Source organism: Homo sapiens, chromosome 12 (assembly GCF_000001405.40).
Source record: "Homo sapiens chromosome 12, GRCh38.p14 Primary Assembly".
Lineage (NCBI taxonomy): Eukaryota > Metazoa > Chordata > Mammalia > Primates > Hominidae > Homo > Homo sapiens.
In genome coordinates, this window is record NC_000012.12 from 32520574 (window position 1) to 32538939 (window position 18366).

The 18366-nt window shown below is 41.9% G+C and overlaps 1 protein-coding gene across 19 annotated transcripts in view, besides 1 other annotated feature; it reads left to right on the forward strand.

Moving 5' to 3' along the window:
• Positions 1–18366, forward strand: part of FGD4 (FYVE, RhoGEF and PH domain containing 4) — a 246493-nt gene that overhangs the window by 121016 nt on the left and 107111 nt on the right. For 4 of the 19 annotated variants that reach the window (NM_001385118.1, NM_001384128.1, NM_001384130.1 and 1 more), the window contains exon 1: positions 13749–13925. The exons of the other annotated variants lie outside the window; for them this stretch is intronic. The gene's annotated coding sequence lies outside the window, so the exon portion shown is untranslated. Of the gene's footprint in view, positions 1–13748; positions 13926–18366 lie in introns of those variants that run through there. 19 annotated transcript variants of the gene reach the window in all.
• Positions 2815–3315: an enhancer, noted in NCBI's record as "H3K4me1 hESC enhancer chr12:32676322-32676822 (GRCh37/hg19 assembly coordinates)". NCBI's record gives its function as "activates a minimal SCP1, AML or CMV promoter by ChIP-STARR-seq in naive H9 embryonic stem cells {active_cell/tissue: H9 hESC(naive)}" and the evidence as "EXISTENCE:reporter gene assay evidence [ECO:0000049][PMID:30033119]".

Genomic DNA, 18366 nt, shown 5'->3' on the forward strand with positions numbered 1-18366 from the left:
GACAGGTGCCCACCACCACGCCTGGCTAATTTTTTTGTATTTTTAGTAGAGATAGGGTTTCACCGTGTTAGCCAGGATGGTCTCGATCTCCTGACCTCGTGATCCACCCGCCTCGGCCTCCCAAAGTGCTGGGATTACAGGCATGAGCCACCGCGCCTGGCCTATTTTTGTGTTTTAAAGTGTGTATCTTAATACAGGAATGCTTGTATCTAACTCTTACCTACATTGTGTGCGAATATGCATACTAGGGGATGCATGCCCAGGATTTATTCTGATAGGGATGTGCCCTCAAGAAGTTTAGAGATAAAGTATTCTAGAAAGCCTTCTCTTACCCTCCGCTCTGTACCTCCAGCAGTCACAGAGCCTCAGCCAAACTTGTCAATTACTATTTTACTTGTTTGCTCTCCCTTTGGTTCCTCGAGAAGGAACTATTTAATGAGACTGTATAAAGTGTTTGAAAACAATGTGCATGGGAGCCATAATAATGAACAGGACAGACAGGGTCCCTGTCCTCTAGAAAAAAGGACATTGCAGGCTGGGCGCGGTGGTTCACACCTGTAATCCCAGCACTTTGGGAGTCCGAGGCGGGTGGATCACGAGGTCAGGAGATCGAGACCATCCTGGCCAACGTGGCAAAACCCTGTCTCTACTAAAAATACAAAAATTAGCTGGCATGCCTCTAATTCCAGCTACTCGGGAGGCTGAGGCAGGAGAATTGCTTGAACCAGGGAATCGGAGGTTACAGTGAGCCAAGATCGCACCACTGCACTCCAGCCTGGCGACGGCGAGACTCCGTCTCAAAAAAAAAAAAAAAAAAGGACATTGCATGAATATTTAATTACGTTTGTGAAGAAATGTTCAAAGGAAACAACCCACAGGGAATAATTAGACTTAGTCATATGTAGAGACCTTAACGTCACAGGAACTGAAAAAGCTGGTGTGGCTGAACTGATGGGCAGGACTTTATAAAAAACATTCCCAAGTCCCTAACAATGTGTCCTGTATACTATATTGAGTCCCATATGGGGCTCAGTAATTCTTTGTAAATAAACAAATACAACATCTTTAGAAGGGATTTTAAATGTTTTTGAGTTTTAGCATTTACTTTAAAAAATATTGTTTTCTAGTTTGCCATAGGTTACTCTAATTTCTGCTGTTTTAAACTCGAATCCTTACCCATTTGTGGCAAATAACATTTGCCTCTGCTATCCTGTGCAGAGGATGAAGATAAGCCATACTCCATGAACAGTGAACTGTTTACTAATACGAGATTATTTAAGTTCCACTACTGATGAACTGTTGTGTCTTAAAGGCTATATAGGTATTTTATAATCCTTAGCATAGTACCGAAGACCTGTTTGTTTCAACATGATTACTAAAGTTGACAATATATAGATTGCCAAAATAATAATTAGAAAATTCCAAGCAAATAAATTTATAATTTATTTAGTACCCATTTAAACGTGCATATGATGGAAATGAGCTGTTTTTTAAAAAATTAGTTCCCTTTTTATCTTTGACCTTATTTCCTACCACAAATTCAGTAACTTACAAAGATATTTAAAAGCTGACTAAATTTGCATCTACTAATATTCTTTTTTCTTTGGAATATTATTACTGTAATATACTTCTGAGATTGTATTAAAAAAGAAACTGCATGTGTAAGATTATCATTATCTGTTGTGGGTGGGGGTGGATACGTAGAGTGGATGATTTGCAAAAGACAGGAAGATCCTCGTTATATTTAGGGTATCTTTTCTTTCCACATTCTGAATTTGGCCTTTAAGAATATTCGGGCCAACACAAAAGGCCCAAGTTGCTGCTGTTACCCCAGCAAGCTGTGCGTTAGGGTCTTGGGGGAAGGAAGATGATAATTAGAAGAAATTTGGATCAGGCAGCTCATCAAAAAATAGAGAAATGAAAGCCTTCCTTCTTCTCTCTCAAGTTAGTAGCAAGTAACTGACTGTACTTTATCCTTTGTGTGACCTGGCAGGGGCAGAACTAACGTTTTATTTTCTTGAAGTCTCAGAGGAGCCTTTTCTGGAAGCTGCATGGTTATTTCAAAGTTGGAAAAAATAATAGGTTCCTGTGGAAATTTATGAAAACATTTTTTCTTGACTTCCTTCTCAAAACCTTGGGTGATTGATAGAGGGAGCATGGTTTAGGAACCATATTTTGAAAGCAAAGTGGCAAGAGATGAGGGGTAGAGCCTTCAGGCCTTCTGTGAAATTGAGATTGCGTTCTAAGTGCAGTATGCAGCCACTGAGGCTTTTGGCAGGCACTGATGAACACTTCTGTAAACCACAGTGTTTGCAAGTCTGCCACCAATTTCCTTGCTACAAAGCCTGAAATAATATCCTTTCCCTCCTTTTGATGCCTAATGAAATCCTACTTATCCTTCAACATAAAGTTCAATCTTCCCTTCTTCAGTGAAGGAGGTAGCTATCTGGACATTTAGGAAGGAGAGCATGAACTGAAAAGGGAACTTGGTACTGGAATCTTCTGCATAGTGGAGTAGCTGTAAACCCCCTCCCGGGTCTGTTCCCCAGAGCAGAGAGTGAAAAAAGAGAACAGAGAGGAATAGTACAAGCAGTGGAGTATCTATCATAGAGTTGACTAAGCATGAGCATACAAGCTGGGAAGAAGCAAGGAGAGGCTGCTGAGGTTGGGGAGCATAAATTTATGGCAGAGAATGTTTGCAGTTTTTGAAAGTGTGGTAAAATGTGCATGACATTTACTATTTTGAATATTTTTAAGTGTGTGGTTCTGTGGCATTAAATACATTTATATTGTAGTACAGCCACCACCACCATCCATCTTTAGAATTTTTTCATCCTTCCCAACTGAAACTCTGTACTCATTAATGTAGTAGTTTTAAGCTAGCAATACATGACAACCTCAGAACTAGAACTGTATATGGGTGGACCGAGGACTGTCATGGTAGGTATGGATGAAAGAGATGGGGTTAAAGGACTCTAAAATGCTACACAACGCATTTACTGTTTGCAGGTGGATGAAGCTAAGGGACTGACACGGAGGGATGGAGCAGAGAAGAGAAATAAACTTTTATCTGCTTGCATTTAAGTGAATGATTTACATTCAGAAAATACATAGCTCTGGGCCGGGTGCGGTGGCTCACGCCTGCAATCCCAACACTTTGGGAGGCCGAGGCGGGCAGATCATGAGGTCAGGAGATCGAGACCATCCTGGCTAACACGGTGAAACCCCGACTCTGCTAAAAATACAAAAACAAAATTAGCCGGGCGTTGTGGCAGGCACCTGTAGTCCCAGCTGTTCTGGAGGCTGAGGCAGGAGAATGGCGTGAACCCGGGAGGCGGAGCTTGCAGTGAGCTGAGATCCTGCCACTGCACTCCAGCCTGGGCGACAGAGCAAGACTCTGTCTCAAAAAAGAGAAAATACATAGTTCTTCCGGTTTGAATAGCCACTTGGCACTGATCTACTGGAATCCAAAGAAATTAATAGTAAAGATAATAATAGTTATAATTAAACACCATGTTTGTGCTTAGAAGTAAGATAAATTGGCCGGGTGCGGTGGCTCATGCCTGTAATCCCAGCACTTTGGGAGGCCGAGGCGGGCGAATCACGAGGTCAGGAGATCGAGACCATCCTGGCTAACACGGTGAAACCCCGTCTCTACTAAAAATACAAAAAATTAGTCGGGCGTGGTGGCGTCAGTCCGTAGTCCCAGCTACTCGGGAGGCTGAGGCAGGAGAATTGCTTGAACCCCGGAGGAGGAGGGTGCAGTGAGCCGAGATCGCGCCATTGCACTCCAGCCTGGGCGACAGAGGGAGACTCTGTCTCAAAAAAAAAAAAAAAAAAAAAGATAAATTACCTGGAATTAGTATAAAAGCAAGATTTGATAAGAAACATAACAAATTTGGAGAAAATATTTGTGATATGAACTCCTTTAAAGACAGCTATAATTCAAATAAAAAAAAAAAACAGAAAAAAATATGTGGCAGGCTCACGCCTGCAATCCCAGCACTTTGGGGGGCCAAGATGGGAGGACCGCTTGAGCCTAGGAGTTTGAGATCATCCTTGACAACACAGGGAGACTCTGACTCTACAAAAAAATGAAAAATTATCTGGGCATGGTGACATGTGCCTGTAGTCTCAGCTACTTAAGAGGCTGAGGTGGGAGGATTGCTTGAGCATGGGAGGTCAAGGCTGCAGTGAGCTGTGATCACACCACTGCGATCCACCTGGGTGACAGAGTGAGACACTGTTTCAAAAAAAAAAAAAATGAGCACAGAGATTACAGAAGCTTTTTAAAAATGACTAATAAACATTTATAAACATAGAAATTGTTGATTAGGAAAATACAAAATTTAAACAATGAGGTGCTGTTGTTCAGTATGAAATATCTTATGCATATACTAAGTTGTGTGTTTATGTATATGTCTCTAAAGATTGTTTAAAGAACAAGAGCAAAACAGACTTCAAGAATTAGGATGTTACCAATACATTTGAAGCCCCTGTGTTCTTCTTTCTTTTTCTACTCCCTATGCCTCCCCACCAGAGGTATCTGCCATCCTGAAATTGTTGTCTAGTGTACCTTTGCTTTTCTCCCTCTCCAGAATGAGGGTTTTGTGACCCAACAATCAGATTAGAGTCCTGGCTTGGGCAGGTGCAAGGAGGGCAAAGAGAGAGATTATTTTCTGAGGTGTAAAGTGCCCCAGCCTCATAACAAGGCTGTGAGAGTTATGAACCAGAACTGTGGACAAAAATCATAACATCACACCACATATGGCTATGTGTCCATAACAACATTTTGGAATGTTTTAAAAGTATATACTATATGTAACTGGAATTGTACTTTATTCTGTGTACTTTATTCATTCCACATTGTTTGTGAGAATGGCCTATGTTGATGTGTAGCTGTAGTTCATTTGCTTTTGAGAGGTGACAGCGTGCTGGCAGTCCTCAGAGCCCTCGCTTGCTCTCAGCACCTCCCCTGCCTGGGCTCCCACTTTGGTGGCATTTGAGGATCCCTTCAGTCCCCCACTGCACTGTGGGAGCCCCTTTCTGGGCTGGCCAAGGCCGGAGCCCACTCCCTCAGCTTGCAGGGAGGTGTGGAGGGAGAGGCACGAGCGGGAACCGGGGCTGCGTGTGGCGCTTGTGGGCCAGCTGGAGTTCCAGGTGGGCGTGGGCTTGGTGGGCCCCGCACTCGGAGCAGCCAGCCAGCCCTGCTGGCCCCAGGCAATGGGGGACTTAGCACCCGGGCCAGTGGCTGCAGAGGGTGTACTGAGTCCCCCAGCACTGCTGGCCCACCGGTGCTGCGCTCGATTTCTCACCGGGCCTTAGCTGCCTTCCCACGGGGCAGGGCTCGGGACCTACAGCCCGCCATGCCTGAGCCTCCCACCCACTCCATGGGCTCCTGTGCGGCCCGAGCCTCCGACGAGCACCACCCCCTGCTCCACGGCGCCCAGTCCCATCGACCACGCAAGGGCTGAGGAATGCGAGCGCAGGGGGCAGGACTGGCAGGCAGCTCCACCTGCAGCCCCGGTGCGGGATCCACTAGGTGAAGCCAGCTGGGCTCCTGAGTCTGGTGGGGACATGGAGAGTCTTTATATCTAGCTCAGGGATTGTAAATACACCAATCAGCACCCTGTGTTTAGCTCAAGGTTTGTGAGCGCACCAGTCGACACTCTGTATCTAGCTGCTCTGGTGAGGACGTGGAGAACCTTTATGTCTAGCTCAAGGATTGTAAATACACCAATCGGCACTCTGTATCTAGCTCAAGGTTTGTAAACACACCAATCAGCACCCTGAGTTTAGCTCAAGGTTTGTGAATGCACCAATCGACACTCTGTATCTAGCTGCTCTAGTGGGGCCTTGGAGAACCTGGGTGTGGAAACTCTGTATCTAACTAATCTGATGGGGATGTGGAGAACCTTTGTATCTAGCTCAGGGATTGTAAACGCACCAATCAGCGCCCTGACGAAACAGGCCACTCGGTCCTACCAATCAGCAGGATGTGGGTGGGGCCAGATAAGAGAATAAAAGCAGGCTGCCCGAGCCAGCATTGGCAACCTGCTCAGGTCCCCTTCCACACTGTGGGAGCTTTGTTCTTTCGCTATTTGCGATAAATCTTGCTGCTGCTCACTCTTTGGGTCCATGCTGCTTTTATGAGCTGTAACACTCACCGCGAAGATCTGCAGCTTCACTCCTGAGCCCAGCAAGACCACGAGCCCACTGGGAGGAACGAACAACTCCAGATGCCCCGCCTTAAAAGCTGTAACACTCACCGCAAGGGTCCGTGGCTTCATTCTTGAAGTCAGTGAGACCAAGAACCCACCAATTCCGAACACATTTTAACTCAGATATAGTATTACGTCGCATGAATATACTTTAAATTTACTTATCCATATTCTCCCAGCTAACAGTAAAGATTTTAAAAATTAATAATCTAGTATAGATTAATGGTAAAGGGCAGAGAGGATATATATTGATATGTTTTGGAAGGTAAAGTTTTCGGTAAGTTACCAAAATTTGAAATTCATATACCATTGAGCTGTGAAGTCCATATCTGGTAGTCTATCCAAAAGAATACTTGTGCAGATATGGAGAAATTTACTAGGATGCTCTTTTAAAAAATAATAAAATTATGTTTGTTAATTAAGTGAATTATGATAGAGTTAAACTGTGGGATATTACGCAGTGTTTAATGTCAGGCTGATCTAAACATACACGTCGAAGGGTGTCTATCAGGGAGCCTAGCCTGTGGAATGCTGACAGAAGCAGTGAGTGAGGATGGTGAGCTCCCTTTGCAGTCCTGCCCTCACTTGACCAGGGGCACCACACACATCCAGAATCGGTTTCTTCCCAGAGCCTGGCCAGACTTTTTTTTTTTGAGACAGAGTCTCACTTTGTTGTCCAGGCTGGAGCGCAGTGGTGCGATCTCAGCTCACTGCAACCTCTGCCTCCTGGGTTCAAGTGATTCCCCTGTTTCAGCCTCCCGAGTAGCTGGGACTATAGGCACGTGCCACCATGCCCAGCTAATTTTTGTATTTTTAGTAGAGATGGGGTTTCACCATGTTGGCCAGGATGGTCTCGATCTCCTGACCCTGTGATCCACCCGCCTCGTCCTCCCAAAGTGCTGGGATTAACAGGTGTGAGCCACTGCGCCCAGCCTATCTTAGTATTTTAATGTAGTAAGTCAACCACGGTGAGAGGAAATGCTGAAAGAGAAAGTATTACCAACTGAAATCCTTATAGATAAGATCAGAGAGATTGTAAATTGGGGTTTAGGGATCAATTTCCTAATTTAGATTAGTATAATGTTTTTATTCTCTAGTATTATATATTTTTTGGTGGAAGAGAATCAAGGGAAGATGACATTACAGATAAAATTTCCTTTTTCTTTTTTCTTTTTCTTTTTCTTTTTTTGGTGACAGTCTTGCTCTGTCACCCACGCTGAAGTGCAGTGCTGTGATCTCAGGTCACTGCAGCCTCTGCCTCAGCCTCCCAAGTAGCTGGAATTTCAAGCACATCCCACCACACCTGGCTGATTTTTGTATTTTTAGTAGAGAGGGTTTCACCATGTTGTCCAGCCTGGTCTCAAACTCCTGGGCTCAAGCAATCCTCCCGCTTCAGCCTCCCAGAGTGCTGGGATTACAGGCGTGAGCCACCGCACTGGGCTAGTAAAGTTTCTTCTTAACAGTACCGAGTTGTCACTCAGCATGTGGGGCTGGGGGATTGGTTCCAGGACCATCACCCTCATATCGAAATCTGCTTACACAAGTCTGTTATATAAAATGGCATAGTGTTTGCATATAACCTACGCACATCCTCCCTTACACTTTTTTTTTTGAGACGGAGCCTCGCTCTGTCGCCCAGGCTGGAGTGCAGTGGCATAATCTCAGCTCACTGCAACCTCTGCCTCCCAGCTTCAAGCAATTCTCCTGACTCAAGCCTCCTGAGTAGCTGGGATTACAGGTGCGCACCACCACGCCTGGCTAACTTTTTGTATTTTTAGTAGAGATGAGGTTTCACCATGTTGACCATGCTGTTCTCGAACTCCTGACCTCAGGCGATCTGCCTGTCTCAGCCTCCCAAAGTGCTGAGATTACAAGTGTGTGCCATTGCACTGGCCCTTCTCTTATACTTTAAATCATCTTTAGATTGCTCATATTTAATACTGTGCAACATAAACACTATGTAGTTATATTTTTAAAATTTATATTTTTTGTTGTTGTCTTGTTTTTATTTGAAATTGTATTTGAATATTTTTGATCCACAGTTGCTTGCACCTGCAAATGCAGAAACTTTGGATTTGGAGGCCAGCTGTACTCTGTGTGTGTGTGACTATAAGTGAACATATAACTAAAGAGGTGATAGAAAACTTTTTTATTAATTATTTTTAATATAAATAGATGTTCAAGGATAATACATCTGCTTTGAAGATTTGTACAAAAATGGCTTGGTACAAAAATATTCAAGCAACAGGATTTACTTGGCATACGTTCAAGAATTTCTATGCCTCATTTTATTAAGCCTCGGAGACGTGCAAAATGGAAATTATGCATCATTTTTTTTTGAGACGCAGTCTCACTCTGTCCCCAGGCTGGAGTGCAGTGGCGCAATCTTGGCTCACTGCAACCTCCGCCTCCCAGATTCAAGCTATCCTCCTGCCTCAGCCTCCCAAGTAGCTGGTACTACAGGCGTGCACCACCACGCGCACCACCACGCCCAGTTAATTTTTGAATTTCTAGTAGATATGGGGTTTCACCATGTTGGCCACGATGGTCTCGATCTCTTAACCTTGTGATCCACCCGCCTCAGCCTCCCGAACTGCTGGGATTACAGGTGTGAGCCACCGCGCCTGGCCTACTTCCATTATGTTTTCCTACTCCATTTTCTATCTGATCTGTTAGTTAAATACTAACATTTACTAGGAATAATTTTCCTGTTACTTTTTTGCCAGTATATGCTTATTTGTACATAATTTATTAAAGCTGACATTGCCGGCCGGGCACGGTAGCTCACGCCTGTAATCCCAGCACTTTGGGAGGCTGAGGTGGGCGGATCATGAGGTCAGGAGCTCGAGACCAGCCTGACCAACATGGTGAAACCCCATCTCTACTAAAAATACAAAAATTAGCCAGACATGGTGGCCCATACCTGTAATCCCAGTTACTCAGGAGGCTGAGGCAGGAGAATCACTTGAACCTGGGAGGCGGAAGTTGCAGTGAGCCAAAATTGAGCCACTTCACTCCAGCATGGGTGACAGAGTGAGACTCTGTCTAAAAAAAAAAAAAAATTTAAAAAAAAAAAAGCTGACATTGCCAATAGTATGTTAGGTTAATTGGGAAGTCTTCAATTATATGACAGCTAATGTGCCAGTTAGGTTTAAATAAAAATGCTAAGGCAAACAACTTAGGCTTCCTTTTATTTTTAAACATTGTAGATTTATAGTTTTTATTCACTTCTTTATTTTTAAACATTGTAGATATATAGGTTTTAATCCAGGAAGTGCAGGTTGCCTATAAAATTCTTGATTTCAGATCATTTCCATGGAAAATGGTAAGCTGTTGAATATAATATAGGTAGGCTTTTATTTTAAAATTTAATATAATAAAAAACATTATTATGAAATATCATGTGGGCTGGGCATGGTGGCTCATGCCTGTAATCACAGCACTTTGGGAGGCTGAGGCAGGCAGATCACTCAATGTCAGAAGTTTGAGACCAGACTGGCCAACATGGTGAAACCCTGTCTCTACTAAAAAAACGAAAATTAGCCAGGCCTGGTGGCACGTGTCTATAATTCCAGCTACTAGAGAAGCTGAGCCATGAGAATTGCTTGAACCCAGGAGGCGGAGGTTGCAGTGAGCTGAGATCGCACCACTGCACTCCAACCTGGGTGACAGAGACTCCATCTCAAAAAAAGAAATATCACGTGAATGTTTGGCAGAAGTTGGTAAGTTTCTTATTCAGTGCAATGTGTATCAAAATAACATTGCTACAAGGAGGGAGAGGTGAAAGGGCTGGATGATAGCCACTAAGTCTTCAGAGCTGGAGGTATTTTATGAATAGCTGTGAGTTCAGTGGCATGGATTTTAGGTGTTTTTCAAGACTGATATCTATGACAACCTTAAAATCACTAAACATATTTATTTAATAGATCCCTTTTGATATGGTATCATAAACTTCAGCTTTTACAAATGGATAATGTATGGGGAATTAATTAGATCACTTTTAATAAATTTGCCAAGTTTTTTGTAAATCACAGAAAATGGATTAGTGATTATCTCTACTGTTGACAATGAGGAGCATAGTGGATATACCAAAAATTATTTAGGGTTGAGTTTACACTATCTATGACAATCAGTTTCCTAGCTTTGGTTTTTTTTTTTTTTTTTTTTTTTTTTTTTGAGACAGAGCCTTGCTCTGTCGCCAGGCTGGAGTGCAGTGGTGCGATCGCGGCTCACTGCAACCTCTGCCTTTTGGGTTCAAGCGATTCTCCTGCCTCAGTCTCCCAAGTAGCTGGGACTACAGGCGCGTGCCACCATGCCCAGCTAATTTTTGTATTTTTAGTAGAGACAGGGTTTCACCACGTTGGCCAGATGGTCTCGATCTCTTGACCTCATGATCCGCCCGCCTCGGCCTCCCAAAGTGCTGGGATTATAGCTGTGAGCCACTCCACCCGGCCCTCCTAGCCTCTTTTTTAATGAATAAATTGCTTTTATTTGCTTCTAAATTTTTTAAAATTAAAAGATAATTTACATACATTAAAATTCAACCTCTTTAGGGTACAATTCTGAGTTTTGACAAATGCACGCAGTCATATAACCACCACCACCACAATGAAGATACAGAACAGTCCCTTTAGTTCCAAAATTCTGTCATGCCGTTTTATGAAAAGTCAGTTCCCTTACCACCAGCCCTGGCAACCTTGGATCTGTTTACTATTCCTGTAAGTTTGTCTTTTCCAGAGTGTCTCATTTTATCACATATGTGTAGCCCTTTACGTTGGCTTCTTTCTAATGCACATGCAGGTATCTTTGTTCATCCCTTGTTATTGCTGTGTGGTATGCCATTGTGTGGATGTACCACAGTTTGTTTCCCATTCACTACTTGAAGAACAAGTGGGTATTTCTAGTTTTGGATGATTATGAATAAAGGCTCTGTAAACATTTTTTGTCAATGTAAATCCTCCTTTTACTTAGGTTAAGTACCTAAGAGTTAGGATTGCTGGCTCATAGGATAAGTGCATTCCCACCTGATGAGAAACTGCTATTGCTCCTATTGGGTAGCCTAGAATTTAGTGTTAAGTTTGTGGTAGATGCTGCAGATTATTACAGATTGTCCACTTGTGGGCAATTGAGAGTCAATCATAATTGTTATATTTTATTTTAGTTATCACTTTCTCCTGCAAACCATGTTTTGATTTTTGGCTTTCATCTATAAAGATTAAAAGTGAATACAGTAGTGTCCCTTTATCCACAGGGGATGTATTTCAAGACCCTAGTGGATGCCTGAAACTGCATATAGTACTGAACAGTATATATACTATGTTTTCTCCTTTACATCCATAGCTATGATAAAGTTTAATTTATAAATTAGTCACAGTAAGAGATTAACAGCAATAGCAATAAAATAGAACAATTATAACAATATACTGTAATAAAGATTATGTGAATGTGGTATCTCTCTCAAAATATTATATGTAATATTTTCAGACTGAAGTTGATCACAGGTAAAGGGTGACTGCTATACCATTATATCTTAATTTGTTGTACAACAGTGAATTTAATATCTTAATGGTTATCACTGTACTAGCATGAGTGATCAAGATTTTTGACCTCCTAAACTTAGTTTTCTCTTCTGCAAAATGGTGATAAATTAACACTACCTTACAGAGTGATATTCTTCTGTAAGATGGTGATAAATTATTACCCTGCAATAAGGACTTTATGAAATTCTACATGGAAAATGCTTAACATAGCAATGGGCAGAGAGCACATGTTAGCTTTTTTTTTTTTTAAAGTGTTTGTTTTAATACCAAACCTGAGATTACAATTTAAACATTGCTATCAAAGCTCAGGAAGTACAGACAGACGTTGGGGCATTTTTGTGACAGGGAAGTATTCTGGTTTTTACATTACTGAAATTTGCTAAGGCTAAGTGGTCTTGGAACCAAACCTAAACAGATTCTCTGCCACAGTGAAATTTTAACACATATGGGTGGAGTTTGCAAAGGAGTTAAAAACAATTCAGGTTTCTTCTCTTTGACTTTTTTCTCCATGTACTATTACCCTATTCTGTATCAGATTAATTGTAAAGCTTATTTATTTATGCCTTATATACACATTTCTGTTATTAAAAAAGTACCACTTTCATTAGAATGATTGACAACCTTTGTGTCCTGATGGGGAGCTTGTGTTGAAGTGGGAGAACAAACCCCTCACACCTCATCCTCAGCACTGTATTGGCTCCTGCCTGACATCCATCAGCTCCTAGCAGGTGTGCAATTTAGCAAGTCCTTTAATCCTCCCTAACCCAGCAATTCACTGCCCCAGTGGTTCTCAAAGTGTGATTCCTGGAGTGAAGGCCCAGGTCAGCAGTGTCACTGTCACCTGGGAGCTTGTTAGAAATGCAAATTATGTGGCCCCACCATGCACTGAATCTGACTTTGATAGGGCACTCAGTGATGTATGTCTTGATAACCCAGTAGGTGATTCAAGTGCACACTAGAGAGAGGGAACTACTGTGTCTGGACACAAAGAGGAGGGGGTTGGAGAGGTTATTTTCCCCAGTGAGGGAGAATGTCTGTAACCTGTTAACTCATTATGATTTTATAAATATTTTAATCTGACATTTTCTTTTGTTTGTTTGTTTGTTTTTGAGATGGAGTCTCACTCTGTCACCGAGGCTGGAGTGCAGCGGCGCAATCTCAGCTCACTGCAACCTCTGCCTCCTGGGTTCAAGCGATTCTCCTGCCTCAGCCTCCTGAGTAGCTGGGATTACAGGTGCATGCCACCACACCCGGCTAATTGTTGTATTTTTAGTAGAGATGGATTTCACCATGTTGGCCAGGCTGGTTTCGAACTCCTGACCTCAGGTGATCCACCCACCTCGGCGTGCCAAAGTGCTGAGATTACAGGCGTTAGCCGCCGCGCCTGGCTTTAATCTGACATTTTCTGATTTTTCAAGGCCATGAGAAATTACTAATGTACTTATAAAGACAGATAAAAATGAGTAATAAATATTTTACCAGTTAAACTATGTTTTGAAATAACATATACGACTTGTTTTCCTTAGGAAATTTGTATGTAGTATTTATTAATTCTGTATTATTTAGTCACTGAAATCAATGAGCTATGCTGGAAAGGAAAACATAAATGGGATATTTGAGGTCATTCAAAATGAGATTTTAACATCTTAAGCTTGTGAATCATGAATCTGTAACCAACATCTTTGGTCCAGGGCAGGAGCCCTGTTAAAATAGAAACAAACTGTTTTCCCATTAGCTTTTTTAGAGCATTACTAATAGTTAAGGCATTAGTCCATTTAGAAATCGCCCTATTCCCAGCTGTACTTTGAATGCTTTTAAAGGTTCCATGTGCCTCAGTTGTTTACTTTACTTTGATAAATAGAAGTCTCTCTGTGCTCATACACTCCCTCTCATGCAATGTACTGCAGCAGTCCGTCCTCTGGGGAGGTGTGGCATGTTTTGCATAAGGTCGTCCTTGGGCAGTAAGTTCGAAGAATGCACTGAAGTCATAGTGCATTGGTCTGAGCTCCTGGCAGATCCTGTGTAATCTTCAGCCTCCCTGAAGCTTTACAGCCAGGAGTGAGATTTTATCACATGAACTTTAAAAGAGTAAAGCCAAATATCTTTTTATTAAACCAGAGTAGATTAATTATCAGTATATGTGAAATCATGTCCACTGATCAAGGTAAGTGGTTTCATTTTCTAGTAGATATATTTTTTTCTTCCCCAGCGTGGGTCACTTTATAACACTGCATGCCGAGGGATGTAAAAGTGGCAGAGTTTGGTTTTCTTTTAAAGTTAATAAAGCTCACATTGGTTTTCAAGTTCAAGATTAAAATATGTGCTATTGATGGGTTTTGGCTCTCCAGGAGGCTTCTTCTGGGCTAACCAGATACAAATGAGTTTGATAGTTAAGTTTCTCTGGCTTATTTTTATTATCATAAGTAAAGTTTGGAAATTTGGTCATTGAGGGGAGAAATATAGAGAAAGAAAGGAACAGTTTTCTCTTTTTCCTCCCATTTCTGGTGTGAACAAATGTTAAGAAATATTTACCACTAATCATTTTTCTAGTGCTACTGCACGGAGCATTGTTCTGTTAAAACAAACAAAAATTCCCACCATCCCAGTCTTGTTTTGGTGAAGTTCAGGGGAGTAAGTATTATTTGTTTTTCTGTAAAAGACAACATTGTAGAGATAGGCATGAGTTTGTTTTTTAAAAATTGTTAGTGGTAGTAGTATTAAGCCACTGTGGTCTCTTTGAGTGTTGTAGAGAGCATATTAATGAGAAATTGAGTCTTTGAAATAGAAATGTAATTCAACTGTGTGATAGAAATGTAATCATGTGACGGGAAATGTCTGCTAAAAATATTTTTAATCACTGAAATGGGTTCATTTTGTTTATTTTCCCATTCGTTTTTGACTGGATATAAGCCTCACTGAAAAATGTCCACACTGCTGAACAAGATAAACTACAACTTAGAACCGGCAGCCTTCACAGTTACCAGTATTCTTTCTGATGGTGGTGTGGCTCTTTCCTTCCTTAAGTGTCAGGGGCATACGCTGAGTGTGGAAGCCCAAGGTTGGGGTTGGTGACAGCACTGCCTCAGGAGAGCTGAGGCGCCACTCCTGCAGCTGCACAGCTGGCTCCGTTCCCAGGTTCTAGTAGCTGCGGGAGGGTTAAGCAGCCCAGTCCATGCCTGCCCCTGCTCCCTCCATCACTCAGGCAGAAGCCTGAATTCTTTTGCAGGCGTTCCACCACTCTTGCATAAAGTTTGGAGGTCTTGTGATCTCTCCAAAATTTACCATCATACTCTAAATATGAAATTAAAAAAAAAAAAAGAAATGCAGCAAAAGGGAAGTGTTTTCTCACCCCAAGCAGTGAAGTTTTAGGTTCTCTTTTTCCTGAAATAGCTTCTGTCCATTCTCATTTATCTTCAAACAGTTAGAGATGATTGGAGAGACAGTATTCCCTCCTGGAAGGCAGCTCTTAATTAGAGAGGAAAATATTTCTAGAACAGGAAGATGAAGCTTGAGAGGTGAATGTTGATAAACATAGAGAACTTGTTGGCTCTTGTTTTCTGCTTTAATGGACAGCACCCTTTAGAGAGTGGCCACTACAACAATATGGACTTTATAAGTTCCTTTTTAGGTTTTTAAACTGAGAAGACAGTAATATAGCACTTCCTGCCTACACTACTGGATAATTTTGTTAAATCATCTAAGAAAAATTGTAAATATGCATATTTAGTGCACATGTTATTTTATAACAGTTTTTTTTTTTTAATGACCTGAAAAAACTTCTCTTTCTAAAGCTTACGCTTTCAGGCAAACTCCTTTCACATGAAAGAAATGAAATATGATAGAGTATGATGAATGACTCAATAGGAAATATTATGCAGTTCTTTGGAAGAATGATAACTTGGTGTTCCTTTAATAAACATCCAAATGTACATGTAACCTAAACTGCAAACTAGGATTAAGATTTAAATTTAATCAGTTCTTCTTAGATACTAGAATAGACTTGAGGAGGTCAAGAGTAGATAGGAGACTCCTGGAATAATCCAGGGAAAAGTTGAAGTCATTTATTTCAAAAATAAAAAGGTATTTTCTTAGATGTTTTGTGGACCATCCCTGCCCACTTCCTGAGCCACCTTCTGATAACCTTTACTGTAGGCACCTGTTTTCTTTATAAAATAACAAGCTAATTTTTATTGGCTAAAGTACATTTGTAAATGTCTTCACCCTGGTTTGTGTGTGTTCTCTGATTTATCTCCCACCACAGCACCTGCTAAGCTCTGGCTAGAACAGATCCTTCCATTTTTATTCCCTGGCGAATTGACACAAGTTAGTTGGTTATACGTTGAAGCAGGCAGAAGGAAAACACTTAGGAGAAGAAAAATAGTGTTAATCGTAGAATTTGGTCATTCTACATGGTGGTTATTATAATAAAACTTGGCCTGGGGAAAATGAGTCTTTCACCCTCTTAGAGAATAAGTACACACAAATACATTTTTAAAACATTTAAACAAACAAACAAAAAAGACTGTGTCACTGTGGTCTTGTCTTTTCCATGCCATTATAAAGCAGTTATTTCTTTTTTTTCTCTCTCTCTTTTCTTTTTTTTTTTTGAGACAGAGTCTCGCTCTGTCACCCAGGCTGGAGTGCAGTGGCGCTAAGCTCCACCTCCGGGGTTCACACCATTCTCCTGCCTCAGCCTCCCGAGTAGCTGGGACTACAGGCACCCGCCACCATGCCCGGCTAATTTTTTGCATTTTTAGTAGAGACAGGGTTTCACCGTGTTAGCCAGGATGGTCTCAATCTCCTGATCTCATTATCCGCCCACCTCGGCCTCCCAAAGTGCTGGGATTACAGGCGTGAGCCACCACGCCTGGCCATAAAGCAGTTATTATTTCTTATGCTTAGTCCCAAAAACCTAGTCTTCCTTGAGTCATTTTTCTCTTATGTACAATCTGGCAACAAATCTTGCTTCAAGATATATCAAACTGACTATGTCTTATTGCCTCTACTGTTACTTGCCCTGCTTTAGGTTACACACAGCTTTCCCCTGGATTGCTTCTACTAGCCTCCTATCTACCCTTGACCTCCTGGAGTCCATTGTCTACCTAACAGCCTGTGTGCACCTCTAAAAACGGAGGGCAGATAATTGCCACTTCTCTGCTCGCAGTCCTTCAGTGAATTCCCATCTCTTTCAAAGGAAATCCCCTGTTCTTTCAATGATGTGCAAGGCCCTACCTTCTCTAGCCCCTATCCCTATCCCTACCCCTTAACTTTCTGACCTCAGCATCAAATATGCTCCCTAGTCTATCCATGTTGTCTTCCTTATTTCTCTTTGAACATATCAACTGTGCTTCTACCTTAGGATTTTTGTAGTTTTACACTTTGCTTGGAATGCTAATCCTCAAAATATGTTATGCCTTATTCCCTTCATGTCTACTCAGCTAGCAGAGTATTAGTGAGACCTCCTTGTCCTCCCTGTATATAGGATATAATAATAGCCTCTCACCTAATAGCACGCCTGTTCCTTCACCCAGCTTTACTTTCGTTATAGCAGTTTTTTTGTTTGTTTGTTTTGTTTTGTTTTGAGACAGAGTCTTTCTGTCATCCAGGCTGGAGTGCAGTGGCGCAGTCTTGGCTCACTGCAACCTCTGCCTCTCAGGCTGAAACGATCCTCCCACCTCAGCCTCCACAGTAGCCAGGACTTACAGGCACACACCACCATGCCTGGCTACTTTTTATATTTTTAGTAGAGACATGGGTTTTGTCATGTTGCCCAGGCAGGTCTCGAACTCCTGAGCTCAAGCAATTCACCTGCCTTGGTTTCCCAAAATGCTGGGATTACAGGTGTGAGCCACTGTGCCTGGCCCATCATAGCACTTTTACCATTTAGCATGTTATACAGGTTATTTTTTTGTTGTGGTGTTCACTGCTATGTTCCTAGGGTCTAGAAAGGTAACTAATAGATACTGGGTGCTTTGTTAATATTTGTTGATTGAATACATTTCTAATATTCAGTGCCTTTTTCTGTTGGGAAATGTAAAATGAGCAGGAATATAAGAAGTTTAATAAATTATAAATATTTGTAGTGTTCTCCATTTCTTCCCTTCAGTTCTCTTTTAAGAATAAATATCCTTGCTTGCTAACCTCTGGTGTCCCTTGTTGAGCAGCATGTCAATAATGAGTTCCTGCTATTGGAAGCCTCACAGGCCAAGTTGATATAAAGAAGTATGAAGAAAGTATGGAGGGGTTAGTGGGTTAGTGAGATTGGAATCTGTGGCTGAGCCCGTACATGATTTTGGATGATTAATTAATGGGCTGTGTCGTAAGACAGAAAAGAGATGAGGGAGAAGCTTTGGGGTGTGAAACCAAGAAATCTGGAGCGATACTGTCTGTGTGGAGAAAATTGTGGCCAAGATTTTTTGCTATTAAAGATGTACTTAGGCCAGGCGCAGTGGCTCACACCTGTAATCCCAGCACTTTGGGAGGCCAAGGAGGGAAGATCATGAGGTCAGAAGATCCGAGACCATCCTGGCTAACACCGTGAAACTCCGTCTCTAGTAAAGATACAAAAAATCAGCTGGGCGTGGTGGCACGCACCTGTAGTCCCA